At 40.9% G+C, this 27,343-nt stretch overlaps 2 long non-coding RNA genes across 5 annotated transcripts in view, besides 1 other annotated feature; one reads left to right on the top strand and one right to left on the bottom strand.

The window, feature by feature from the left end:
- Positions 1–27,343, bottom strand: part of LOC105369321 (uncharacterized) — a 95,635-nt gene that overhangs the window by 11,839 nt on the left and 56,453 nt on the right. The gene's annotated exons all lie outside the window — the stretch shown is intronic.
- The window catches only part of LINC00301 (long intergenic non-protein coding RNA 301), a 71,399-nt gene that overhangs the window by 4,383 nt on the left and 39,673 nt on the right, over positions 1–27,343 (top strand). Inside the window, exons 2-3 of the long non-coding RNA NR_026946.1 lie at positions 888–985; positions 8,156–8,275. This is a non-coding gene — a long non-coding RNA (long intergenic non-protein coding RNA 301). The remainder of the gene's footprint in view (positions 1–887; positions 986–8,155; positions 8,276–27,343) is intronic.
- Positions 13,839–13,938: an enhancer, noted in NCBI's record as "active region_4774". NCBI's record gives its function as "activates an Ori minimal core promoter by ATAC-STARR-seq in GM12878 lymphoblastoid cells {active_cell/tissue: GM12878}" and the evidence as "EXISTENCE:reporter gene assay evidence [ECO:0000049][PMID:35858748]".

Raw genomic sequence — 27,343 nt, forward strand, 5'->3', positions numbered from 1 at the left:
CTGGGAAAGTGACACTGATGGATCCAACATGAGACAGATTCCCCACCTCTCTTCCAGTTAGTACAATAAGGGAATAATTCCTACAGATGACAAGCATGAAACAGAGGTGAGTGGGCCACATACCCAAAATGGTGTCCACAATAGCGAAGTCATAGAGATAATTTGTGGCTGCCATCTTTTAAACATTCATGGCTGCCATGTGTTAAACATCTTCCCTACTTTTTTATTGGTCACTAAGTTGTAAAAGCTACCTTTCCCAAAATGGAATCCAAAAAATTATATTCCCTTGCCTCCCTTGAAATCAAAGTGCAGGCATTTGATCTAGGTTCTGCCAATTACACATTCTTGCACTAAAGTTTGATTTAGGAGAGAACAACAAAAGAGACCCTACAGTAGGCATCAATTGGACAGATGATGGTCCAGGAGACAGGGAAGGTTTTATCATGATGCCAGTTCTACAACAGACTTCTGAGGCAGGAAATGGCAAGAGCACTTCCTCCTCAGTTTTGATCAGCGATTTGTCTCTGGCATTATTTGAAAAGCCCACCCTTCCCAGTGATTACGTGAGCTCACTCATGTTCTATTTTGCTTAAACAAGCCATATTAAATTATGCTGTCTGCATCTTAGCATCCTAAGGACCCACAGGATGTCATTTAAAATTGGTAAAAATGTATAAAATCTAATAGGACAATTAGAATTGCCAAGAGGTTAGCCAAGTCCAAGAGAGCATATCAATTGATTAATTTTAAATACCTATTTCAGGGAACGGTTTCATTATTTAAAAATTAAAGACAACAATAATAGGGTTCTCAATGACCTTTAAGTGCTTATCTGAGATCACTATTTTTAAAATCACTATGTTTATTTTTTCTATGTTGCCTTTTAGAGATAGATTCCATTCATCCTTTCTAATGTCTACACCATATTTTGGATAACATGCCATCATCTCACATTGTGTTGAAAGAAGAAACCAGAATGTTGGGGGTAAGATTCATTGCTACTTGAGTAGATAAATGGTTTTAGTGTTGCAGATCCCAAATATTTAAGGAAAGAGACATTGATTCCTCTATCTCAGTTACCCAATGGGAGAGAGTTGATAAGCTGAGTCCCAGCAATCCTACTGCTGTGATTTTCCCTTTGTCTGTGTGTATCTATAAAGAGCTTGAAATAGAGACGCTGAAGTGAAGTTACAAAGGTTACACGTTGCCCTCTCCCTCCCCCTCCCCCTCCCCCTCTCCCTCTCCCCACGGTCTCCCTCTCCCTCTCTTTCCACGGTCTCCCTCTGATACCGAGCCGAAGCTGGACTGTACTGCTGCCATCTCGGCTCACTGCAACCTCGCTGCCTGATTCTCCTGCCTCAGCTTGCTGAGTGCCTGCGATTGCAGGCACGCGCCGCCACGCCTGACTGGTTTTCGTATTTTTTTGGTGGAGACAGGGTTTCGCTGTGTTGGCCGGGCTGGTCTCCAGCTCCTAACCGCGAGTGATCCGCCAGCCTCGGCCTCCCGAGGTGCCGGGATTGCAGACGGAGTCTGGTTCACTCAGTGCTCAATGTTGCCCAGGCTGGAGTGCAGTGGCGTGATCTCGGCTCGCTACAACCTCCACCTCCCAGCCACCTGCCTTGGCCTCCCAAAGTGCCAAGATTGCAGCCTCTGCCCGGCCGCCACCCCGTCTGGGAAGTGAGGAGCATCTGCCTGGCCGCCCATCATCTGGGACGTGAGGAGCCCCTCTGCCTGGCTGCCCAGTCTGGAAAGTGAGGAGCGTCTCTGCCCGGCCGCCATCCCATCTAGGAAGTGAGGAGCACCTCTTCCCAGCCACCATCCCATCTAGGAAGTGAGGAGTGCCTCTTCCCGGCCGCCATCCCATCTAGGAAGTGAGGAGGGTCTCTGCCCGGCCGCCCATCATCTGAGATGTGGGGAGCGGCTCTGCCCCGCCGCCCCGTCTGGGATGTGAGGAGCGCCTCTACCCGGCCGCGACCCCGTCTGGGAGGTGAGGAGCGTCTCTGCCTGGCCGCCCCATCTGAGAAGTGAGGAGCCCCTCCGCCCGGAAGCTGCCCCGTTTGAGAAGTGAGGAGCGTCACCGCCCGGCAGCCACCCCGTCCAGGAAGGAGGAGGGGGTCACCCACCGCCAGGCCAGCCGCCCCGTCCGGGAGGGAGGTGGGGGGGTCAGCCCGCGACGGGGCCAGCCGCCCCATCTGGGAGGTGAGGGGCGCCTCTGCCCGGCCGCCCCTACTGGGAAGTGAGGAGCCCCTCTGCCCGGCCAGCCGCCCCGTCCGGGAGGGAGGTGGGGGGTCAGCCCCCCGCCCGGCCAGCCGCCCCGTCTGGGAGGTGGGGGGCACCTCTGCCCGACCGCCCCTACTGGGAAGTGAGGAGCCCCTCTGCCCGGCCAGCCGCCCCGTCCGGGAGGGAGGTGGGGGGGTCAGCCCCCCGCCCGGCCAGTCGCCCCGTCCGGGAGGTGAGGGGCACCTCTGCCTGGCTGCCCCTACTGGGAAGTGAGGAGCCCCTCTGCCCGGCCAGCCGCCCCGTCCGGGAGGGAGGTGGGGGGGTCAGCCCCCCACCCGGCCAGCCGCCCCGTCCGGGAGGTGGGGGGCACCTCTGCCCGGCCACCCCTACTGGGAAGTGAGGAGCCCCTCTGCCCGGCCAGCCGCCCCATCCGGGAGGGAGGTGGGGGGGTCAGCCCCCCGCCCGGCCAGCCACCCCGTCCGGGAGGGAGGTGGGGGGGTCAGCCCCCCGCCCGGCCAGCCGCCCCGTCCAGGAGGGAGGTGGGGGGGTCAGCCCCCTGCCCAGCCAGCCGCCCCATCCGGGAGGTGAGGGGCACCTCTGCCTGGCCGCCCCTACTGGGAAGTGAGGAGCCCCTCTGCCCGGCCAGCCGCCCGGTCCGCGAGGGAGGTGGGGGGGTCAGCCCCCAGCCCAGCCAGCCGCCCCGTCCGGGAGGTGGGGGGCGCCTCTGCCCGGCCGCCCCTACTGGGAGGTGAGGAGCCCCTCTGCCCGGCCACCACCCCATCTGGGAGGTGTGCCCGGCAGCTCATTGAGAACGGGCCATGATGACAATGGCGGTTTTGTGGAGTAGAAAGTGGGGAGAGGTGGGGAAAAGAGTGAGAAATCAGACGGTTGCCGTGTTTGTGTAGTAGGAGGTAGACATGGGAGACTTTTCATTTTGTTCTGTACTAAGAAAAATTCTTCTGCCTTGGGATCCTGTTGATCTGTGACCTTACCCCCAACCCTGTGCTCTCTGAAACATGTGCTGTGTCCACTCAGGGTTAAATGGATTAAGGGCGGTGCAAGATGTGCTTTGTTAAACAGATGCTTGAAGGCAGCATGCTCGTTAAGAGTCATCACCACTCCCTAATCTCAAGTACCCAGGGACACAAACACTGCGGAAGGCCGCGGGGTCCTCCGCCTAGGAAAACCAGAGACCTTTGTTCACTTGTTTATCTGCTGACCTTCCCTCCACTATTGTCCTGTGACCCTGCCAAATCCCCCTCTGTGAGAAACACCCAAGAATGATCAATAAAAAATAAATAAATTAAAAAAAAAAAGCTACAAGAGTATGTTATAACTCAATGCAAGGAAGCTAAAAATCATAATAAAACATTGCAAGAGCTGACAGACAAAATAGACACTACAAGAATTTCATAATGTAAACACAAGTATTAATAACAAAATAAACCGAGCAGAGGAAAGAATCTTAGAGCTTGAAGACTGGCTTTCTGAAAAAAGACAGGCAGACAAGAATAGAGAGAAAAGAATGAAAAGGAATGAACAAAACCTCCAAGAAAATAAGGGATAATGTAGAGACTGGATCTATGACTGATTGATGTACCTGAAAGATATGGTTGGTTCTATGCAGAGAACAGAACCAATCTGGAAAACATATATCATGATATCATCCATGAGAACTTCCTCAATATAGTGAGGGAGACCAACATTCAAATTCAGGAAATGCAGAGAACTCCAGTAAAATACTCTACAAGAAGATCATCCACAAGACACACAATCATCAGATTCTTCCAACACCAATATGAGGAGAAAAACATATATTAAAGGTAGTGAGAGAGAAAGGCCAAGTCATGTACAAAGGGAAGCCCATCAGACTAACAACAGACCTCTCAGATGAAATACAACAAGCCAGAAGAGACTGGAGGACAATATTCAATATTCATAAAGAAAAGAAATTTCAAACCAGAATTTTATATCCAGCCAAACTAAGCTTCATAAGTGAAGGAGAAACACGATTCTTTTTAGACAAGCAAATGCTGAGGGAATTTGTTACCACCAGACCTGCCTAACAAGAGCTCCTGAAGAAGGCACTAAATATGGACAAGAAAGACCATTACCAGCCACTACAAAAACACACTGAAGTACACAAACCAGTGACACTATAAAGCGACCACATAAACAAGTTGACAAAATAACCGGCTAACATGATGATGACAGGATCAAATACACACATATCAATATTAATCTTAAATGTAAAAGTGACAAGCTGGATAAGGAACCAAGACCCACCAGTATGCGGTCTTCAAGAGATCCATCTCACATACAATGACATACACAGGCTCAAAATAAATAGATGGAGAAAAATCTACCAAACAAATGGTAAACAGAAAAAAGCAGGGGTTGCAATCCTACTGTCTGGCAAAACAGACTTTAAACCAACAAAGATCAAAATAGACAAAGTAGGGCATTACATAATGATAAAGGGGAAGTCAGGAGGTATATGGAAAATTTCTGCTCAACTTTTCCATTAACCTAAAACTGCTCTTTAAAAATTACCTATTTTGGCCAGCCACAGTGGCTGACGCCTGTAATCCCAGCACTTTGGGAGGCCGAGGTGGGCAGATCACAAGGTCAAGAGATCAAGACCATCCTGGCCAACATGGTGAAACCCCGTCTCTACTAAAAATAAAAAAATTAGCTGGGTATGGTGGCACATGCCTGTAGTCCCAGCTACTCGGGAGGCTGAGGCAGGAGAATCGCTTGAACCCGGGAGACAGAGATTGCAGTAAGCCAGGATCGCACCGCTGCACTCTAGCCTGGCAACAGAGTGAGACTCCATCTAAAAAAAAAAAAAAAAAACTATTTTTAGAAAGTCAACTTGATCCCAAAATGTATGTGTAAATAAAAAAGGCTGCAATGATCTTGAAGAAAAACAGTGTGGATGTACTCTCTCAAATTTTAAGACTTATTAAAACTTTAAAAAGACAGTATGATATTATCACTCAAATAGACCAATAAATAGAACAGAATAGTTTCCAGAAACAGACACATGCTTACATAGACATTTGATTTCTGACCAAGGTGGCGCTGCAGAGCAATGGGAACCAAGCAGCCTTTTCAGTAATTAGAGCCATCTGAATGTGACTCATGTGAAAAGAATGAAACTTTAGTCCTACCGTACCCCATACACACTCAAAAAAGTCAGTTTTAAGAAGATTTCAAATATAAATGTGAAAAGTAAAATTAAATGCTTCTAGATGATAAGTGTATATTTTCATGATTTTGTGGTGGGTAAAAATTTCCTAAACCAGATATAAACAGGAAAACACATTAAAATTAGAAACTTTGATTCACCAAATGGCACTATTCACAAAAACTAGGTAAGCCACACAGGGAAAGTTAATTTCACATTTATCACCAGTGAAAGACTTGTATCCACAACATATCAAGAACTTCTAAAAATCAATAAAAAGTGCAGATAGCCCAATAAAAATAGACAAAATCCTTGAGCAGCCACCTTATACAAAATGATATTCAAATGGCCAATACATTCATTAAAATATAATTAAACTGAAAAGGGAACCCTTATACGCTGTTGTTGGGAATGTAAATTGGTACAGCCATTATGGAAGACAGTATGGGGATTCCTCAAGAAATTACAAATGAAACTACCACATAACCCAGCAATCCCTCTTTTACCAAAGGAAATGAAATCAGCAAATCATAGACATATCTGTACTCTCATTTTCATTGCAGCATTATTCACTATAGCGTATATTTGGAAACAACCTGTGTCCATCAATGATGAATGGATAAAGAAACTGGTACACACACACACACACACACATACACACACACACACATACACAATGGAATATTGTTAAGCCTTAAAAAAAAAAAAAGGAAATACTGCCATTTGCAACAACATGGATGAACCTGAGGAACACTGTGCTAAGTGAAATAAGCTATACACAAAAATAAAAAGAATGTATGATCTCACTTATATGTGGAATCTAATAAACAACAAATACATTGAAACAGAGAGTAGGACAGTGGTAATCAGAGGCAGAGAGGGGAGGAAATGGGGAGAAGTAGATCAAAAGGTGCAAACTTGCAGTGATGTAGGATGAATAAGCCTAGAGATCTAATGTACAGCATGAGGACTATAGGCGATAACATATATTTAAAATTTGCTCAGTGAATAGATTTTAAGTGGTCTTACCACAAAAGAAGTAGTTATGTGATGTGATGGACATGATCTTTTGTGTGACAGTAGTAATCATTACACTATGTATATGTGTATCAAAACATCATACTGTATAACTCAAATACATCACAAAATGGTACAGCTGTTTTGTAAGTTTGGCAGAAATGATAAAAATAGAAAAAAATAAAAGTGATATGCTTAAGCTCATTAAAAATTAGGAAAATAAAAATTAAAACCACAATGAAATATTACAGCAAACTTGCCAGAATGGTTAACTTATTGGCAAGAATGTAAAACAACTACTAGTGGAAGTTTAAATTTCTACAACCACTGGAAATTTGTTTGACCGTATCTTCCAGAGTTGAACACATGTTTACCCTATGACTGAGTAATTCTACTTCTAGATATAGGCCTATCAGAAATGCTTACCTATGTTTTACGAAAGGAAATACAAGTTTATAGCCTCCTTTTTCACAGTAGCCAAAACTGGAAATAACCCAAATGTGCATTGGTAAAAATATGGATAGACAAATTATAGCACACTGATAGAATGGAAAATAACATAGCAATGAAAATGAACAAAACTACTACTAAACATAACAACATTGATGGATTTCATACAAACATAATTTTGAGTGAAAGCAACAAGGCACAAAACGGTACGTACTGCATGATTACATTTATATAAAGTTCAAAAATAGACAAAACGAATCAATGGTGTTGGAAGTCAGCTAGTGGTTTCTCTTATGGAGGAGGATGGGAATAGGGAATGAAAAGAGATATAAGTGATTTCTGGGTTGCTGAATATGTTTGGTGTCTTGATATGGGTGGTGGCTACATGAATGCTTACACTTTGTAATAATTCTCTGAGCTGCATACTTTAGAATGCATGTTATGCATCAATGTTTATTTTTAAAACTATTTCAATGTAATTTACCACATTAAAGGATAAGAAAATATTTGATCATCTTAAAAGATGTCAAAAAATAATTCAACAAAATCTGTAATCATTCATGGTAAAAAGCTATTAGGAATATCTAGGAATGTCCTTTTGATGACAAAAATATTTATTAAAAATTTACAGCAAATATCATACTTGATAATGCAACTTTAGAAGCATTCCTATTAAAACAAGGCACAAGACAAGAATGAACACTTTCATTGTTACTACTCAGTATACAAATTTGACATCCTGGTTAATGAAATAAGACCAAAAAAAGTCAGAAATATAAATATTGGAAAGGAAGAGCCAAAACTCACTATTTTAAGATGGTAGGCATGGCTTCTCCTGGGGCCTTGGAAAAGACCTGTGCATTTGAGAAGCTCAGACACAAGTGCCTTTAGCTTCATTTTAATCTGCCCCTGCAGAGAACATTGGGTTTATTCATGATGTCAGTATATATTGCATTCTCTTCACATTTACTGTTGCTAGTTTTTCTCTCCCATTAGAATGTAGCACTTTCTTTTTTGCCTCAACACAGTGCCCATAAGAATTTTATATTTAATGAGGAAATGAAATATCTGCATGCAGTATCAGAAAACCATGTGTATTATTGGAATCCTGACACATTTGGAGGTTGGGAACCCTTAGAGTAAACGCTGATTCAGAAAAAAATCAGAAGTTATAACAAATCCTCAGCTTTAACATGTTTATCAGTAATGCAAACTAATAACTTCATGTCAGCTTGTTTGTTCCACATATAACTAGTTGACATTTTGTATCTATTCCAGTTGATGTATGCCATATGGATGAATTTAAACAGTTTCGGCCTTGCAATAATTGGTATACTTCTAATTGCATGTGAAATTATACTCTTTTTAACGAAAGATGAAACTATTCAGTGGCCACATGTAAGTACAAGGTTTTACAATGTTTTTTTCACAGAAACTTACACTTTAAATTTGTTTGTAAATGAGCAGAGCCTATTTTGGTGTTGGACAAATGCAGAGGTGATCAAAATTAACAATTCACATTTGGCATGACCACAAGTAAGGATCCAAACCACTGAACAGACCTTTAAAACTGGGACCAAAACAAACCTCAAGAAATCAAATGGTGTTACATAAAATAAAATAACTAAAATGTAGATTATTGAGATTCAGATGAAGGATGATGGTAAAGATACAAAAACCTTAAATAAATATAGATATCTCTTCAAAATAAGGATATATTGGAAGTTGGCAGGCTCACTGACACAATGTACTAGATACATTCTAGTTATCTGTGTCTCCCCAATCCTTATTCGCAGGGCCCAGAACTTAATAGATATCTAATAAGTGTTTATTGAGTGAATGTAAATACTTTTTATTTTACTATCCTCTCTGAAAGTATTCCCAGCAAAATACTCCTGAAAATCAGTAATCAGAAATTCTCTGTATGCAATAGGCAGGTTAAGTCCCAAGTCCCCTGAATATGCTGTAAATTCACCTTTTTTTCACATGGCACTAACCATTTGATTTTAAGGTAAATATTATGGATATGAAAATTGAAATGGAAAAAAAAGATGAACATATGGTCATTGGCTAAATGTGCATGGGATTCCTAGTTGCTTAAAGTTAGAAACCTATATATACCGGAACGGGGGAGACGATACACTAACACTTCAGGATGTCAAAGACCTGATGGAATTAGGACAAAGAAAGGAAGTCCCACTTTTTTCAAATTTTAAAAATGACAGGATAGTTAGGACAGATATCTGCAGTTCAGAATTTTTACACTCATAAGCATTATTGGCATTTTGGTCATTTTAGGACTACCCTTAATATTTTATGCCACCAGGTGTATTGCATGCCTTATGCAGAAGGAAAGTCTTAAGAATTCTGAGACCTATCAAGCGTACATATCTCTATTTCAAATCCTGCTTATGCTTTATTGATGTGACAGCTCAGTACATATCTGGAAGTTTTGTTTTTATAGGCTATAGGAGTAAATAAGAACACTTTAAATACTTGATTGAGTAACTAGCTGGTAGGTCTTGGAGGATATCACTCATATGCACAAACACAAAAGATATAGAGCAAAGGCCTAAGACATCACAGTATGTTCAAAGGTCAGCCTGTCCTACTCCCTGGAAGTTTATTTTGTCACACATCATGGGCAGAACCCTATCAAGCAAATTTAATGACAAGGAGGTTGAAGTATGATGGCTTTCCATACCTAAAGCTATTATAGAGGTCAAATAAGAACTAAAGCCCTATAGGGGAAAATAGAGTATGAAAAAAACCTCTATATGAGTTTTTTTTATTTCAGTTCCTAAGTTTTTCTTCAACACCAATACTGAAATATGCCATACTAGAACTCATACTCTACAATCTCAGTTGCTAGCATTGTTTGTACCTAACAGATTCATTCCCAAATGCAAGAAGTCCGAGGATTAGTAAATATGCTATTCTGGCTGAGGGGTCAGACACAGCAAGCTCTGAGGCCTTTCCTTACGGCAGACCAATTTGGAAATTACAGGATATCAGTTCCTTTCCTCCCAGGAGGCTCTTGGCATCTGTGAAAACTTGCCTATATTATTGCCAACAAGAATCTTTGTTTACCAAAAGCTACCAGGATGAGCAGGCTTTCTCAGGCATTCCACAACTATTCTTCTGAAGAAACCACTCAAGTGTTCAGGAAAGAATCAGAAAATATCTGCCCAAGTAACTTTCTAAATCTTTCAAGACAGTGAAATGGCTAGCAGCTTCTCTTGCTAACAACAGGTTCAATTTCTCTTCTTTCTCCACAAGCACACAGCTACATTTATTTTATAATAAATGTATTTGTATAATTATTGACCAAAGATAAATATATAATTAATTATAAATTACTTACTTTTTAATATTCTATTTCATTTCACATAGGATTTGAAAGAGCTTAACGAATACCTGTAGTAATATAATTAAAATATATCTAAAATGAGTAAATACTTTAAAAATGTTTATTAGCATAAATTGTTATAAGTATATAGTATAGTGATATATGTGAGGAGACTTCAAAAAGTTTGTGGAAAATGGAGTTAAAAGATGAAAAATATGAACTTTATTTCTCAACATAAGATCCACCAAGGTCAAGACACTTCTGTAAGCAATACCAGCCATTTAGTCCATCTCTAAAGGACTGAGGGTCCTGGTATTTTAACCATGTCGGTAAAGCATTTTCTTACATTATTAACTGAAGAGAAATGGGTGTCCTTTAAAGATTTTTTAAGATTAGAAAACAAAATAAATCCAAGGGAGCCAAATCAGGACTGCGAGGTGGATGCCTAATGATTCCCCATCCAAGTTCTCACAAAATTGCCCTTGTTTGCCGAGAGGAACGAGCAGAAGCATTGTTGTGGTGGAGAAGGGCTCTCTGGTGAAACCTTCCCAAGCATTTTTCTGCTAAAACTTTAGCTAACTTTCTCAAAACACTCTTATAATAAGCAGGTGTTACTGTTCCTTGGCCCTCCAGAAAGTCAACAAGCAAAATGCCTTGAGCATACCAAAGAACTGTTACCATAATATTTGGTTTTGACTGATTCAAACTTGCTATGACTGGACCACTTCCACCTCTTGGTAGCCATTACTTTGACTGTGCATTGTCTTCAGGATCATACTGGAAAAGCCATGTTTCACCCCCTATTAAAATTATTCCAAGAAATGCTTCAGGATCTTGATTCCTCTTGTTTAAAATTTTTATTGAAAGTTCTTCTTTTGTATGCAGCTGATCTAGGCACAACAGTTTGGGGACCTATCAAGCGGAAAGTTTGCTCAACTTTAATTTTTCAGCCAGAATTGTGTAAGCAGAACCAATTGAGATATCTATGGTGCTGGCTATTGTTCCAACTGTTAATCATGGGTCCTCTTCAATTAGGGCATGAACAAGATGAACTTTTTTTTCTTGTTAATTGATGTGGATGGTCTGCATGTTTCATCTTCAACATCGTCTCATCACTTCTTAAAACAAGTTATCTATTTTTTGTTTGTTTTTCAAAATGATAGATTGGAGTCTTTGTTAGCACATTGCACCCACTTGATAAGAGCAATATAGTGTGTAGATTCATGCTATGAACTTTTATCCAAGAAGGAGCACAGGAACTCAACAGAAACACTGAAACAAACTTTGAATACCTTGAAAGGAGTGGCAGACAGCAACTTGCACTATGAGTCCGTTGGAAAACTATGAGTCTTGAGAACATGAAAGGGAGACAGACTGTCTCCATGATACAAATTCCCACTTGGGAGCTGTGCAATCCAGGCCATGAGGGAGTGACTTGACCCTACCAGGAGCTGGAGCTAATTTGGTGAGTAGTGGGGAGTATATGAAAAGGAATGGCATCAGGATGTGCTTTGCATGAACTCCCAGATGTCAGTGGGGACAGAAAGAAGGCATTCCTGATCCTAACTCACAGGGAATCTTTCAGAAACTTGCCAGCTAACTCAGGCAGTGGTCATAGGTTGAGAGAAGCTCCAAACTGAGATGTGTGATCTCATCTCAAGTAAGAATGAGATGTAATCTCAATAATCTCAAGGCCAGAACCAAGAGGCAAGAAGAAAGCATGCTCTTGCTACAGGTCCAAAATTAGGCGCCCCTGTTTTGCAGGTCATATTGGGAAGGATGTGGCTTTCAGGCCACATCCTTCTGTTTCTGTCTTGGTTGGGAAGTTTTGCATTCTGAGCATGAACTGTCTGGAACTCAGCTGGCTGTTTCAGCTTTCTGCCAGCAGAAGTTTGTGTATGTGAGACCTACTGTGCCAAAGGCATGGGAGTTGGGTGGGTCTTACTGCCACCTGCTACCCCTTTTCCCCATACAGACACTTTTGTGCAGCAAAAGTGGTTGTACCCCTCCCCGCATCATTGTCCCAGTGGCCAGGGAGCTGCCCTCTGACCCCCATCAGGGCCACCATTTGTACCCACACTTGAGGAGCTAGAGCACTGACTTGCCTGATCCAACCCTCACCTGGCTTTGCCCTTCCACTCGCTTTGGTAGCAGAACATGGACAGGAATTTTTGAGAGTTCCATGGGCTCACCCATTGCCTAGGATATCTGAGTATTTACCCTGGGTAATATAGACCAAGCATAAATTCCACAGCTGCCACTGCAGCTGGCTCTCTACTGCACGCACCACATCCTGGCCAGAGGTCAACTGGCCTAGCCCACTACAATATCTGATGGCACAATAACAGCACTCAAGAAGAAAAAGGCTTTTGCATGATCTCAGCTAACACTATTGACTGCACCACCAAAGCTACTCAGGAGGCCTTGAGCCCATTCACATGCCCAACACATTACTACTACATCTAACAATGGAGAAAGCCACAATGCCAAGGCTATTTACAACCAAGGAAATCTTACAGAGTGTAAGCCACTCCCGTGCCACCATCATTAGAGCTGGTACTTGAACCTGCCACTGGGAAACCATAGGATGGGTCAGCCTGGTCCAGCTCCACTCAACATCACCTCTGGAGCATAAGAGTGGAGTCCAGGCTACTGCACATCTCACAGACCACTCCATAGCCTGAAGCATCCGAGAGCTTCTCCAGATGGCTGACTAGAGATTATCAGTGACAAATTCTGGGAAGGAAAAACCAAAATTACACTTGGATGATCACAGCGCAAATGGAGTATTAAGGGGAGAGTGCTGGAGCTTTTTGGAGAGTTCACTGGAAAAATCTATGATACACAAAAAAAGAAAGAAACAAGAAGCTGGTAGAGCTTAAACCCCAAGAGACAGAGCATTCTGTGGAAAGTGAATGGAATGCTTTCAGCCTCTGTAGGCCTTGTGGCAGCCTGCTGGTATCCAAACTCAAGGAGAGCTTATTTGGACTTGTAAGCCCAAGTATTGGATTGGCCTGTGATTTGGGGGCTTCTTAAGGGCATTACACTGGGCTACCAGCTTGTGCATGTTCCTTCCTTTCCCCCTAGACCTGAGCTATAGAAGCAAGTGCCATACTGGATGTGCAATCATTATGGGACATTGTTCTGCTATGGGACTTTCAACCCTTGTGTCTTCACATCCCCAGATCACTTGCTGACATTTCCCAGCATCAGCCTGGATTGCGGCAGACCCGCGAGGTGATGGCTAGAGCCAGAGGAGCATCAGGATTCACAGTAGTCTTGCTCTCCAAGACTGCCACTCCTGGGGGAAGGAGGAGTGTACCACATCAAGGGAGCACTCTGGGGAACAAAAGAAACTAGAATGTGGGCTTTTCTGTGTCCCAGATCTTCCCACTGTGGGCAGGAAGCACCTGCACCTCCTTCAACAAAGGCACGGGTGCAGTCTTGGGCTTAGTAGGGGAAGACTGGTTCTGCCCTAGCAGTTGAATAGCCCTGGTGCTTATAAAGGGACTTTTCATACCTCTCACCATTTTGCATAAAGGGACTTTTTATCTCTCTCACCCACCACTGAAGACACCACCAGAGCTTCTCCCATGGGAGCTTGGCAAGGGTGCACCTGTAGAAGGCTTTTATGGAACATTCTGAGGTGACAGCATCACCATAGGAGGTGTGCCCTCTGGGTTCAGGATTGCATGAGGAGTGGAGTCCCACTCCCTCTATACAAGAAACATCAGCATTTCTGCAGATGGACGAGGTCCCTGTCTGATCTGAATATCCAGAGTACTAGGACAAGGGTGTGACAGGGAGTTTGATCACTTTCCTCCTGGCCTGGTACTGGAAATAAAGTGGCTGTTTCCGTCCCCCCACTGCAAAGGCGTCAGTGAATTTCACCAGGAGCTCCCCCAGCTGCCTCATCAGGGATAGGGCTTTTGCTCACCAATGGGGTATTGAATATACCCACCTGCTTCAGCCACAGCCAATTCTTACCCACAGGTGCCTCCTGCTGGCCTGAAGGCTAAACTGCTCAACCCAGTTTAAAAAAAAAAAAATGGAATGCACACCACTGGGGAACAAGATAAGTTTCCTGAGAACTCTGCCATTCTGACCCCAAAGGAGACAATAAGCCTGCTCATACACCCAGTACATCACTACTATGAGCAACATCTGAGAAAGCTATAATATAAAGATTCTCTATAACCAAGGAACTCATACAGTGTCTTTGCCACTGAAAGCACCACCCAGAGCTGAAGTTAGGTCATCATAAACTGTACATTATTGTCACATCCTCAAGGTATAAAAAGAAAACTTAGTCCAATCAAAAAATAAATTCAAAAATAATGAAAAGAAATAGTCTATCCAGATGAGAAGAAGCCAGAAAAATAATTCTGGCAATATAGAAAAGCAGAACCTTGCAACACCCTGAAAGGATCATATTAACTCTTCAGCAGTGGATCCAAACCAAAATGAAATATTTGAAATACCAGATAAAGAATTCAAAATATTGATTGTAAAGTTGCTCAATGAGATCCAAGAAAAATTTTAAATCTAACAAAAAGAAATCAAAAATAAATTCAGGATAAGAATGAAAAATTTTCCAAAGAGATAAATACTTTTTTAAATAAAACAGAACATCTACAAATGAAAGACTAATTTAGGGAATTACAAAATGCAGTGGAAAGTATTAACAATAAACTGTACCAAGCAGAAAAAAATCATTTCAGAGCTTGAAGACATGGCTTTTGAATTAATTCAATCATACAAAAATAAATAAACAAAGTTTCCAAAAAATATGGGATTATGCAAAAGGTCCAAACCTAAGAATCATAGATATTCCTGGCCAGGCTCAGTGGCTCACATCTGTAATCCCAGCACTTTGGGAGGCCAAGGCATGCAGATTGCTTGAGCTCAGGACTTTGAGGCCAGCTTGGGCAACATGGCAAAACCCAGTCTCTACAAAATATACAAAAATTAGCAAGGCATGGTGGCATGTGCCTATAAACCCAGCTACTTGGGAGGCTGAGGCACAAGAATCACTTAAACCCAGGAAGTGGAGGTTGCAGTGAGCCAAGATCATGCCACTGCACTCCAGCCTGGGTGACAGGGTGAGACTCTGTCTCAAAAGAAAGAAAAAAGAAAAAAAAGAATCATAGATATTACTCATAGATATTCCTGAGAAAGAAGAAGAAAAAGCAAAAAGTTTGGAAACCTATTTTTGAGAGAATAATTAAGGAAAACTTCCCTAGTCTTGCCAGAGACTTAGACATCCAGATTCAAAATCTCAAGAACTTCTGGAAGATGCATTGCAGAAAGGACATTAGGAAGGCATATAGTCATCAAGCTACCTAAAGGCAACATGAAGAAAGAATTCTAAGAATAGTGAGACAAAAGCATCAAATAACTTAAAAAGAAAAATCTATCAGACTAACAGCAGATTTTTCAGTAGAAACCTGACAATCCAGAAGGAATTGGGGTCCTAGCTTTAGTCTTCTTAAACAAAATAACTGTCAGCCAAGAACTTTGTATCTTGCAAAACTGATTCATAAATGAAGTCCTTCCCAGATAAGCAAACACTAAGGGAATTTGCCACCATTAGATCAGTCTTGCAAAAAATACTCAAAAGAGTTCTAAACATCAAAACGAAATATCCATATGCACCAGTATAAAAACACTTAAAAGTATAAAACTCACAGGGATTAAAAAACAGTAGCACAATGGAAAATAAAAGCAACTAGGTAACAATCAACATGATGACTGGAACAGTACCTTACATATCAATATCAACTTTGAATGTAAATGATATAAATGCCCCACTTGAAAGATATCAATGGTGGAATGGATTTTGAAAACACAATCCAAATATCTACTGCCTTCAAGAGACTAGTAAAGAGTCTTATAGACCCAACGATATAAAAATACCAAATATATATGCACGTAATATCAGAGTTACCAGATTCATAAAACTACTAGATCTAAGAAAAGAGAAGACACCAATATAATAATAGTGGGGGACTTCAACAGTCCACTGGCAGCACTAAGCAGATCATCAAGGCAGAAAGTCAACAAAGAAACACTGGACCTAACAGACATTTACAGAACATTCTAGCAAAAAAAATTGCATAATATACATTCTTCTCATCAGCACATGGAATATTTTCCAAGATACATCACATGATAGGCCACAAAAAAGCTTCAATAATTTTTAAAAGGTTGAAATTATATTACATATCTTCTCAGACCACAGCAAAATAAAACTAGAAATCAATTCCAAGATGACTCTCAAAATCATACAAATACATGGAAATTAAACAACCTGCACCTGAATGAGCTTTGGATCAATGATGAAATAAAAATGGAAATTTAAAAATTTTTTGAAATTATTGATAACAATGGCACAAGTTATCAAAATCTCTAGGATATCACAAAAGTAGTGCTAACAGGGAAGTTTGGGCCAGGCACAGTGGCTCACACCTGTAATCCCAGCATTTCGGGAGGCCAAGGCAGGTGAATCATTTGAGGTCAGGAGTTCAAGACTAGCCTGGCCAACATGGTGAAACCCCATCTCTACTAAGAATACAAAAGTTAGCTGGGCGTGGTGGTGGGCATCTGTAGTCCCAGCTACTCAGGAAGCTGAGGCAGAAGAACCGCTTGAATCGGGGAGGTGGTGGTTGCAGTGAGCCGAGATTGTGCCACTGCACTCCAGCCTGGGTAACAGAGCTAGACTCCATCTCAAAAAAAAAAAAAAAAAAAAAAAGATGGAAGTTTGTAGTCCTAAATGTCTACATCAAAAAGACAGAAAGATCACAAATTGAGAGCCTAGAAACATGCCTGAAGGAACTAGAAAAATAAGAGCAAACCAAAACCAAAGCTAGAATAAAAGAAATCACTAAGATCAGAGTAGAATAATGAAATTGAAACTAAAAAAAAAAAAAAATACAAAGGATCAATGAAATGAAAAGCTGATTCTTTGAAAAGATAAACAAAATTGACAGACAAATATCTAGATTAACCAAGAAAAGAAGGCCGGGCGCTGTGGCTCACGCCTGTAATCCCAGCACTTTGGGAGGCCAAGACGGGCGGATCACGAGGTCAGGAGATCGAGACCATCCTGGCTAACATGGTGAAACCCCGTCTCTACTAAAAATACAAAAAAAAAAAAAAAAAAAAAACAATTAGCCGGGCGTGGTGGCGGGCGCCTGTAGTCCCAGCTACTCGAGAGGCTGAGGCAGGAGAATGGCGTGAACCCGGGAGGCGGAGCTTGCAGTGAGCCGAGATCGCGCCACTGCACTACAGCCTGGGGGACAGAGCAAGACTCCGCCTCAAAAAAAAAAAAAAAAAAAAGAATAGAGAGGATTCAAATAAGCTCAATCAGAAATGAAAATAGAGACATTACAAGTGATTAGACGGAAATACAGAAGATCATCCAAGACTTCTACGAACATTTCTATGCACACAAACTAGAAAATCTAGAGGAAATTGACAATTTCTGGGAAACATGCAATCCCCAAGCTTGAATCAAGAAGAAATAGAAATCCTGAACAAACCAATAATAAGTACTGAGATTGAATCGGTAATTTTAAAAAATCTCCCAACAAGAACAAAAAAAGAGCCCAGGGCAAGACAGATTCACAGCCAAATTCTACCAGACCTTCAAATAACTGACATACTTAAAATATCCCAAAAAACTAAGAAAAAGGGAATTCTCTCTTACTCATTCTACAAAGCCGGTAGCACCCTGATACCAAAGCCAGGAAAGGACACAACAAAAAAAGGAAAACTACAGACCTAAATCCCTGATAAAATTAAATGTGAAAATCCTCAACAAAATACTAGCAAACTGAATCCAACAGCACACCAAAAAATTAATTCACCAAGATCAGGTGGATTTCATCCCAGGGACACAATGATAGTTTAACATATGCAAGTCAATAAATGTAATTCACCACATAAAAAGAACTTAAAACAAAAACTATATGATAGACTCAAAGGGCACAGAAAAAGCATTTGATAAAATTCAGCATCTCTTCATGATAAAAAACCCTCAACAAACTAGGCATAGAAGAAACATACCTCAAAATAATAAAAGAGGTTGGGCGCAGTGGCTTAAGCCTGTAATCCCAGCACTTTGGGAGGCTGAGGCAGGCAGATCACTTGAGGTCAAGAGTTAGAGACCAGCGTGGCCAACATGGTGAAACCCCCTCCACCAAACCTGGCTAATTTTTATCTTTACTAAAAATAAAAAATTAGCCAGGTTTCTGTACTCCCAGCTACTCGGGAGTTGAGCTCCCAGCTACTCGGGAGGCTGAGGCAGGAGAATCACTTGAACCCAGGAGGCAGAGGCTGCAGTGAGCTGAGAGCACGCCACTGCACTCCAGCCTGGGCGAAGGGAGAGAAACCTTGTCTCAAAAAAAAAAATTAAATAATAATAAAAGCTATATGTGACAAACCCACAGCCAACATCATACTGAATGGGAAAAAATTAAAAGCATTCCCCTTCATAACTGGAGCAAGACAAGAATGCCCACTTTCACTACTCCTATTCAACATAGTACTCAAAGTCCTGGCCAGAGCAATCAGGCAAAAGAAAAATAAAAAAATAAGGCGCATCCAAATTGAAAAAGAGGAAGTCAAATTATTTATCTTTGCTAGTAATATGACCTTATGCCTTAAAAACCTTAAAGACTCCTCCAAAAGACTCCCAGATTTGATAAATGAATTCAGTAAAGTCTCAGGTTACAAAATCAACATACACAAATCAGTAGCACTGCTATATACTAATAACAACCAAGCTGAGAATCAAATCAGGAACTCAATCCCATTTACAATAACTATAGAAAAAAACACCTAAAAATATACTTAACCAAGGAGTTGAAGGATCTGTACAAGGAGAATTACAAAACACTGGTAAAAAGAAATCACAGATGACACAAATGGAAAAACATCCCATGCTCGTAGATTCGAAGAACCAATATTGTGAAAATGACCATACTGTTCAAAGAAGTGTACAGATTCAATGAAATTCCTATCAAGAAACCAATGTCATTTTTCACAGAATTTACCCCAGTAACAATGACCATTATTGAAAAGTCAAAAACCCATAGACGTTGGTGAGGATGCAGTTAAATGGAAATGCTTATGCACTGTTGATGGGACGTAAATTAGAATAACCTCTATGGAAAACAGTATGGAGGTTTCTCAAAGAACTACAAGTAAGTCTACCATTCAATGCAACAATCCCACTACTGGGTATCTATCCAAAGGAATAGAAGTCATATCAAAAAGTTACCTGTACTTATATGTTTATCACAGCACAATTCACAATTGCAAAGATACTGTGATGGTTAATACTGAATGTCAACTTCTTTTGGATAGAAGGATGCAAAGTATTGCGCCTCAGTGTGTCTGTGAGGGTGTTGCCAAAGGAGATTAACATTTGAGTCAGTGGGCTGGGCACCATCTAATCAGCCAGCGCAGCTCGGATATAAAGCAGGCAGAAAAACGTGAAAAGGCTAGAGACTGGCTTAGCCTCCCAACCTACATCTTTCTCCCATGCTGGATGCTTCTTGCCCTCGAACATCAGACTCCAAGTTCTTCATCTTTGGGATTTGAACTGGCTTCCTTGCTCCTCAGATTGCAGACAGACTATTGTGGGACCTTGTGACCATGCGAGTTAATACTACTTAATAAACTCTCATATATATATATATATAATCCTATTAGTTCTGTGCCTCTAGAGAACCCTGACTAATACAGATATGGAATGTACCTAAGTGCCCATCAACTGATGAGTGGATAAAGAAAATATGGGAGATATGTATATATACACCATGGAATATTTATACACCAGCAATAAAAGAGAACAGAAAGCCAAATATACATGTTCCCACTTATAAATGTGGCTAAGTTACGGTTCTCAAGGCCATATAAAGGTCTATAATGGACACTGGAGACTCAGAAGCGGGAGGGTGGAGGGGGAGTGAGGGATGAAAAATTACCTATTGGATACAATGTACACTCTTGAAGTGATAGGTACGCTAAAAGCCCAAACATCACCCCTATGTAATTCAGTCATATAAACAAAAACCACTTGTACCCCTAAATCTATTGAAATTTTAAAATTTGATTTAATTTAAATATAAAAGTGATGCTTTTAAAATCTTTAAAAAAAATTCCATTTGTAAACTGCCTATTTCTCTGGAGCATTCTCTTCATAAACTTTTTGGTTTTCTTGTGTTTTGTTTTGTTTTGTTTTGTTTGTTTTGTTTTGCTTTTGAGACAGGGTCTTGCTCTGATGCCCAGGCTGAAGCACAGTGGCGTGATCATGGCTCACTGCAGCCTGGACCTCCTGGCCTCAACTGATCCTCCCACATCAGCCTTCTTAGTAGCTGGGACTTATAGGTGCACACCACCAGGTCTAGCTAATTTTTTTTGTAGAGGTGCCGTTTCATCATATTGCCCAGGCTGGTTTCAAATTCCTGGGCTCAAGTGATCCACCCACCTCGGCCTCCCAAAGTGCTGGGATTACAGGTGTGAGCCACCACACCTGGCCCCTCATAAACTTTTTGTAAAGCGTCAATAGTTTATGAATTCATTAGTCTTCCACCCGGGCTTTGACATCAATTTTATGCTTGTTCTTTCTTCAATTTTAGCAGAATTCATGTTTCTCTGGTAGGGGCTCTTTTCAAACTGACTTCTTATCCTTCTAAGTGCCTCAAACTAAATCCTGTTAAGACATGTTATAACAATTTTGTGTGAGTTTATTTTGGTGCAAAAATTTTTTGAAATCCGTGCGTAGTTTTTCCATAGTATGCATTTCCCACAAACTTTTTGAAGACCCCTTGTATTAGGTTGAACCATTTGAAATTGCTGATATCAGACCATTTTTAATCTACAAAATTGTCAGTATTGTATGATCCAATCCAATGTATTAGACTATTCCAATATATGCAATTTGGAATATGATCCTTGTGAAATCAAGAGGAAAATAATAACATAGATATATAGGTTTTAGAATACTATGAATTACCAATATTGACACAGTTTTTGCACTAAGTTTCCTGATAGGCAAAGTGAAAATGAAATTCAATCATTATGTGAATAAATTATCTATTAGGCAGAAATGTTTCAGTTCATTATGGATAAAATGATTCCTGTAATAGTACTTTATAACCATTTATTCGTGTATAGTTCAGTATAATAAGCAGTATATAACAGTATATAACAGTTATATATATACTGTTATATACTTTCCCCCGTTCTATAATTAAAAATTAGAATACATGGCGGGGCACGGTGGCTCACGCCTGTAATCCCAACACTTTGGGAGGCTGAGGCAAGTGGATCACGAGGTCAGGAGATTGAGACCATCCTGGCTAACACGGTGAAACCCCGTCTCCACTAAAAATACAAAAAATTAGCCGGGCGTGGTGGCAGGCGCCCGTAGTCCCAGCTACTCGGGAGGTTGAGGCAGGAGAATGGCGTGAACCCAGGAGGCGGAGCTTGCAGTGAGCTGAGATCGGGCCACTGCACTCCAGCCTGGGCGACAGAGTGAGACTCCGTCTCAAAAAAAAAAAAAAAATAGAATACGTAACTCTGGTTACATTTTCTGTTTGGAGATACTGAGCATTCTCAGTCTGGATCTGGTTGTCTTGAGTTAAGGAATTATTTCACCCAAGAAAACTTCCAGGAGTGGTGACAGATTCTCCAAAGTAGACATAATAAGCAAGATGGATGCAAGGAGGAAGCATAGGTTGATAGCGTAATATTTTAAATGCTGACTCAAAGAAATCATTATTTCATTACTAAGAGTAAAATTAGCGTGAAGTATAAGCAGCCCCATAGCCTAGTCTTCTCTAGATCAATAATAGTTCTAAACATACTGTACTCTAACTACATTATTTCTGAGTAATTTCTCCTGAATGAACACTTGAAATTTGCATAACCTGCCATTAGAGAGAAGGCATACTTCAATTATCCATATTCTTATAAAGTTGAGACTGCATAAACTAATGCCCACTAGGTTAACACGAAATGTTTTAACAACAGCTCAGCCTTCAGTTTTCTAGAAGGTCCAGTTTCCAAAAAATTATAGCATTCTTTATGCCTAATGTCCTAGCTACAAATAATGATACTGCATAGTTTTTTCACAATATGAATTTTATGAAATATTTTACTGAGATTATCTCATTAGATCTGTTAAATCTCTACCCTATTTTTATTTCCTTTATCTCTACACTCTACTCTCAAATATCTCCCTTCATGAGGAACCATTCCTTTGTATTTAATATAAATGGTTTTTTAAAACCACTTTTTAATTTTAAGCTACTTTATATGATTAATACATAAAAATGTATACATATGTAATGCATAGATCTGAGTGAGTTTGGGGATAGGTATACACCTATGAAACTATCACCACCATCAAGGCCATAAACACATTTATCACATCCCGAAGGTTCTTCCCACACCCTTTATTATTATTGCTTTTTACTTTTTCTTTGGGTATTAACATTTAACACACCGCTATCCCCTTAGCAATTTTAAGCACACAATACAGTTTTATTCACCACAGGCACTATGCTATAGAGTAGATCTCCAGAGCTTAGTTATTTTGCATAACTAAAATGTTGTGACTTTTAACCATCATCTTCCCATTTATCCCTCCCACAAGCCACTGACAGCTACTATTCTACTCTCTGCTTTTAAGAGTTTGGCGATTTTAGGCTATTATCTAAAAGAAAAATACAGCAGATGCTGGTGAGGTTGAGGAGAAAAGGGAACACTTCTACACTGTTGGTGAGAATGTAAATTAGTTCAGCCACTGTGCAAAGCAGTTTGGAGATTGCTCAAAGAACTTTAAACAGAACTACCATTTAACTCAGCAATCCCATTACTGAGTATATATCCAAAAGGAAATAAATCATTCCACCAAAAAGATATATGCATTCACAAGTTCCATCACAGCACTATTCACAATAGCAAAGACGTGAAATCAATCCAAGTGCCCATTAATGGTGGATTGCCTAAAGAAAATGTAATATATACACCATGGAATACTACACAGGCATAAAAAAGGGTGAAATCATGTCCTTTGCAGCAACATGGATGCAGCTGGAGACCATTATCCTAGGCAAATTAGCACAGAAACAGAAAACCAAATGCCGCGTGTTCTCACTTGTAAGTGGGAGTTAAACATTGTGCACACATGGACATAAAGATTGCAACAATAGACACTAAGACTATCAAAAGGGGGAGGAAGAAAGGGGGAAAGGGTTGAAAAAGCATAGTGGGTACAATGCTCACTACCTGGGTGATGGAATCAATCATACCCCAAACCTCAGCATCACCCAATATACCCATGTTTCAAACCTGCATGTGTACCCCTGAATCTAAAATAAAATTTGAAATTATAAAAAATAAAATTATGTAACTTAAAAAAATATTGCTGAGATGGATAAATACATAAATAAAATGGAAAAAAATTTAAGAGTTTAGATTCCACATAGTGAGATCATACAGTACAGCTATTTGTCTTTCTGTGTCTGGCTTATTTCACTTAATATCCTCCAGATCCATTCATGTTCTCACAAATGGAAGGATTTCTTTCTTTTCTAAGGCCAGATTACACACACACACACACACACACACACACAATTTATTCACTCATCCATTGGTAACATTTAGCTTGTTCCATATCTGACTATTACGAATAATGCTGCAATGAAAATGGAAGTGCCAAATTTCAAATCCTTTGGCTATATATCCAAAAGTGAGATTGTTTGATCATATGTCAGTTCTATTTTTAACTTTTCTAGGGACCTCCATATTGTTTTCAATAACAGCTATAGAATTTACATTCTCACCAACAGTGTGTAAGTGTTCCCTATTCACCACATCCTCACCAGCACTTGTTATCTTTTGATTTTTAATAATAGCCATCCCAACAAATGTAAGATGCTATCTCACTATGGTTTTGATTTACATTTCCCTGATTATTAGTGATGTTGAGCACATTTGCATATACTTCTTGGCCATTTCTATGACCTCTTTTAAGAAATGCCTATTGAGAAAGTCATGGAATAAACTTAAGTGCCCATCAATAAATGATTGGATTTTTAAAATGTGGTGTGTATATACATATTGTGGAATACTACTTTGCTGTGGAAAAGAATTAAATCATGTCTTTTGCAGCAACATGAATGAAACTGCGGCCATTATCCTAAATGAAATGACTCAGAAACAGAAAGTCAAAAACCACACATTCTCATTTATAAGTGGGAGCAAAAAAGTTGTTACACACGGACATACAGAGTAGAATAATACAAATTGGAAACTCCAAAAGGTGAGAGTGTGGAAGGGAGTTGAGGAATGAAATACTACCTATTGGGTACAGTGCACAGTATTTGGGTGATGAGTACACTAAAAGCCGAGGTCCAGACTTCACCACTTACAATATGTTCATGCAACAGAACTGCACTTGTACCCCATAAATCTATTTTTTTAAATTGCCCATTTTTAAATTTGGTTGCTTTATTTTTTTTATTCTGTTGTATGTGTCCTTTGTATATTTTGGATATTAAATCCCTTATCAGATATATGGTTTGCAAATATTTTCTCTCATTCCATAGGTTGCTTTTTCATTGTTTTTCTTACTGTGTGGAAGCTTTTTAGTTTGATGTAGTCCCACTTGTTTATTTTTGCTTTGTTGCCTATGCTTTACAGGTCATATCCAAAAGACATCATTGCCAAGATAAATGTTAAGGATCTTTCTCTCTGTGTTTTCTTCTAGGAGTCTTAGGGTTTCAGATTTTAAAATAAATTACTTTATTCATTTTTACTTAATTTCTGTGTTTGATATAAAATAAGGCTCCAATTCATCCTTTTCCATGTTAATATCCAGTTTTACTAACAACATTTATTGAAGAGACTACCCTTTCCCCATTATGTAGTCTTTCTGCCTTTGCTGAAAATTAGCTGGCCATCTATGCATGGGTTTATTTCTGTTCTCTCTGTTCTGTTCCATTAGTCTATATATCTGTTTTTATGTCAGTACCACTCTGCTTTCTTTACTATAGCTTTGTAATATAGTTTGAAATCAGGAAGTGTGATGCCTCCAGCTTTGTTCTTGCTCAAGATTGCTATGGCTATTCAGAGTCTTTTGTGAGTCCATACAAATTTTAAGATTGTTTTTTCTATTTCTGTGAAGTATACTGCTTTTGATAGAATAGACATTTTAACAATATTAGTTCTTCCAATCTATGAACATGGGATATCTTTCCATTTATTTGTGTCTACTTTAATTTCTTTCATCAACATTTTATAGTTTTCAGTGTACAACTTTGGCATTTCCTTGGTTAAATGTATGCCAGTGTTTTCACAATTTTTCTCTGTTAAACATCATTTTGTGTGTGTTTATTGTTTTCCTGGTTTTGTTAAATTGTCTCTATGTTCTCTTGCAGCTCACTGATGTTCTTTAAGATGATTATTTTGAATTCTTTGTCATGCAGTTCATAGATATCCAATTTTAAAGGTCAACCACAAGAGCTTCACTTTGTTCTTTTGGTGGTGTCCTATTTCCTTGATACTTTGTGTTCCTCAAAGCTTTGCATTACTGTCTTCACATTTGAAGAAGCAGTCAATGTTTCTAATCTTTACTGGTTTTCTTCAGTAGAGAAAGACCTTCACAGTGAGCCCAGCCAGAGATTCTTGGGGCCTCATGTACTTTTTCTATAATGTGCACACTCTATTTCTCTTGTTCCTTCTTAGTGGGCAAGTCTCAGGATTGTGTGCCTTCTTTCAATCCAAAGTCAGGCCTGATGCTGAGAGCCTGCCATTTATTTTCCCTAAGGCAATGTCCTGAAGTTTTAAAGGTTGTGCATCTTTTTTTTTTTTTTTTTTTTTTTTTTTTTTTGAGATAGGGTCTCACTCTGTTGCCCAGGCTGGAGTGCAGTGGCACAATCTCGGCTCACTGCAACCTCTGCCTCCCAGGTTCAAGAGATTCTCCTGCCTCAGCCTCCCAAGTAGCTAGGGCTACAGGGGCATGCCACCATGCCCAGCTAATTTTTTTGTATTTTTAGTAGAGATAGGGTTTCACCATGTTAGCCAGGATGGTCTCGGTCTCCTGACCTCAGGTGATCCGCCCTCCTGGGCCTCCCAAAGTGCTGGGATTACAGGCGTGAGCCACCACGCCCTGCCTCATCTTCTTTCAAAGCAGCAGTGTCAAGCCAGTTGGTAAGATCCACAGCTGCTGTTGAGATCCAAGTGCTGTCTGTGGGAGCTCATTCTGAGCTGTGCATGGGCATGTGTGGGGTACTATTCAAGGTGGGGTTCCCAGGGTGCTAGGAGAATGTGTTGGCTATTTGGGAAGCCCTCTGACAAGTCATTCTGCAGGGTTTATGGGCAGGCCTCTTGGCGGAGTTCAAGAGCTGGTTATCCCAGTGGAATATGTTTGTAATTGCAGTGGAATGTGTTTGTAAAACATCTTTGGTTTTCAAAGTTCTGCAGCATGAGCATATGAGGTACCTGAGCAGGTATCATCTCCACTCTACAAAAGAATAAACTGAGGACCAAAGGATTTAAGTGCAGTGCTGTACCCACCACATCTTGCAGAGGATTCTAAGTGGCAAGGAGCTTCTGACAATGATGCTGCTTCTAAGCGGGGGTGTGTCTGGGGTTAGCAGTGGGGCCACCACGTGATCAATCCGCCGACAGATCAAGCACAGCCTCTTCCTCCTGGGTGCGCCAGGCCCAAGGACAGAGGATGATGCCCACGCAGCCAGGAAAGAGCGGCATCATTGTCAGCCCCTACCCCACCCTCGTCTTGGGAGCCTGCAGGCTCCGTGGTGCCACGGGAGCCCCACCGCACCTCACGTATCCGCGCGAGTCTCTAGCACAGCCCCGCTCTTGGGCGTTAGAACCCCGCGAGGGGGGATGAAGGACGCCACCGAGGAAGCAGACCCCACCGGGCTCCCGAGGCTGCCAGGCCCCCCGCTCAGGGCGCTGCCTGCAGAACCACGCCCCCCTGTCCCTGTGCTAAGAGGGTGACGCGAGTGCCCGAAGCCCTGGCCTGGTTACCATTCGCGACTCCCTCGTCCTGGGTTCTCCCATTGCCAGGAATGTTT

Source organism: Homo sapiens, chromosome 11 (assembly GCF_000001405.40).
Source record: "Homo sapiens chromosome 11, GRCh38.p14 Primary Assembly".
NCBI classification, from domain to species: Eukaryota; Metazoa; Chordata; class Mammalia; order Primates; family Hominidae; genus Homo; species Homo sapiens.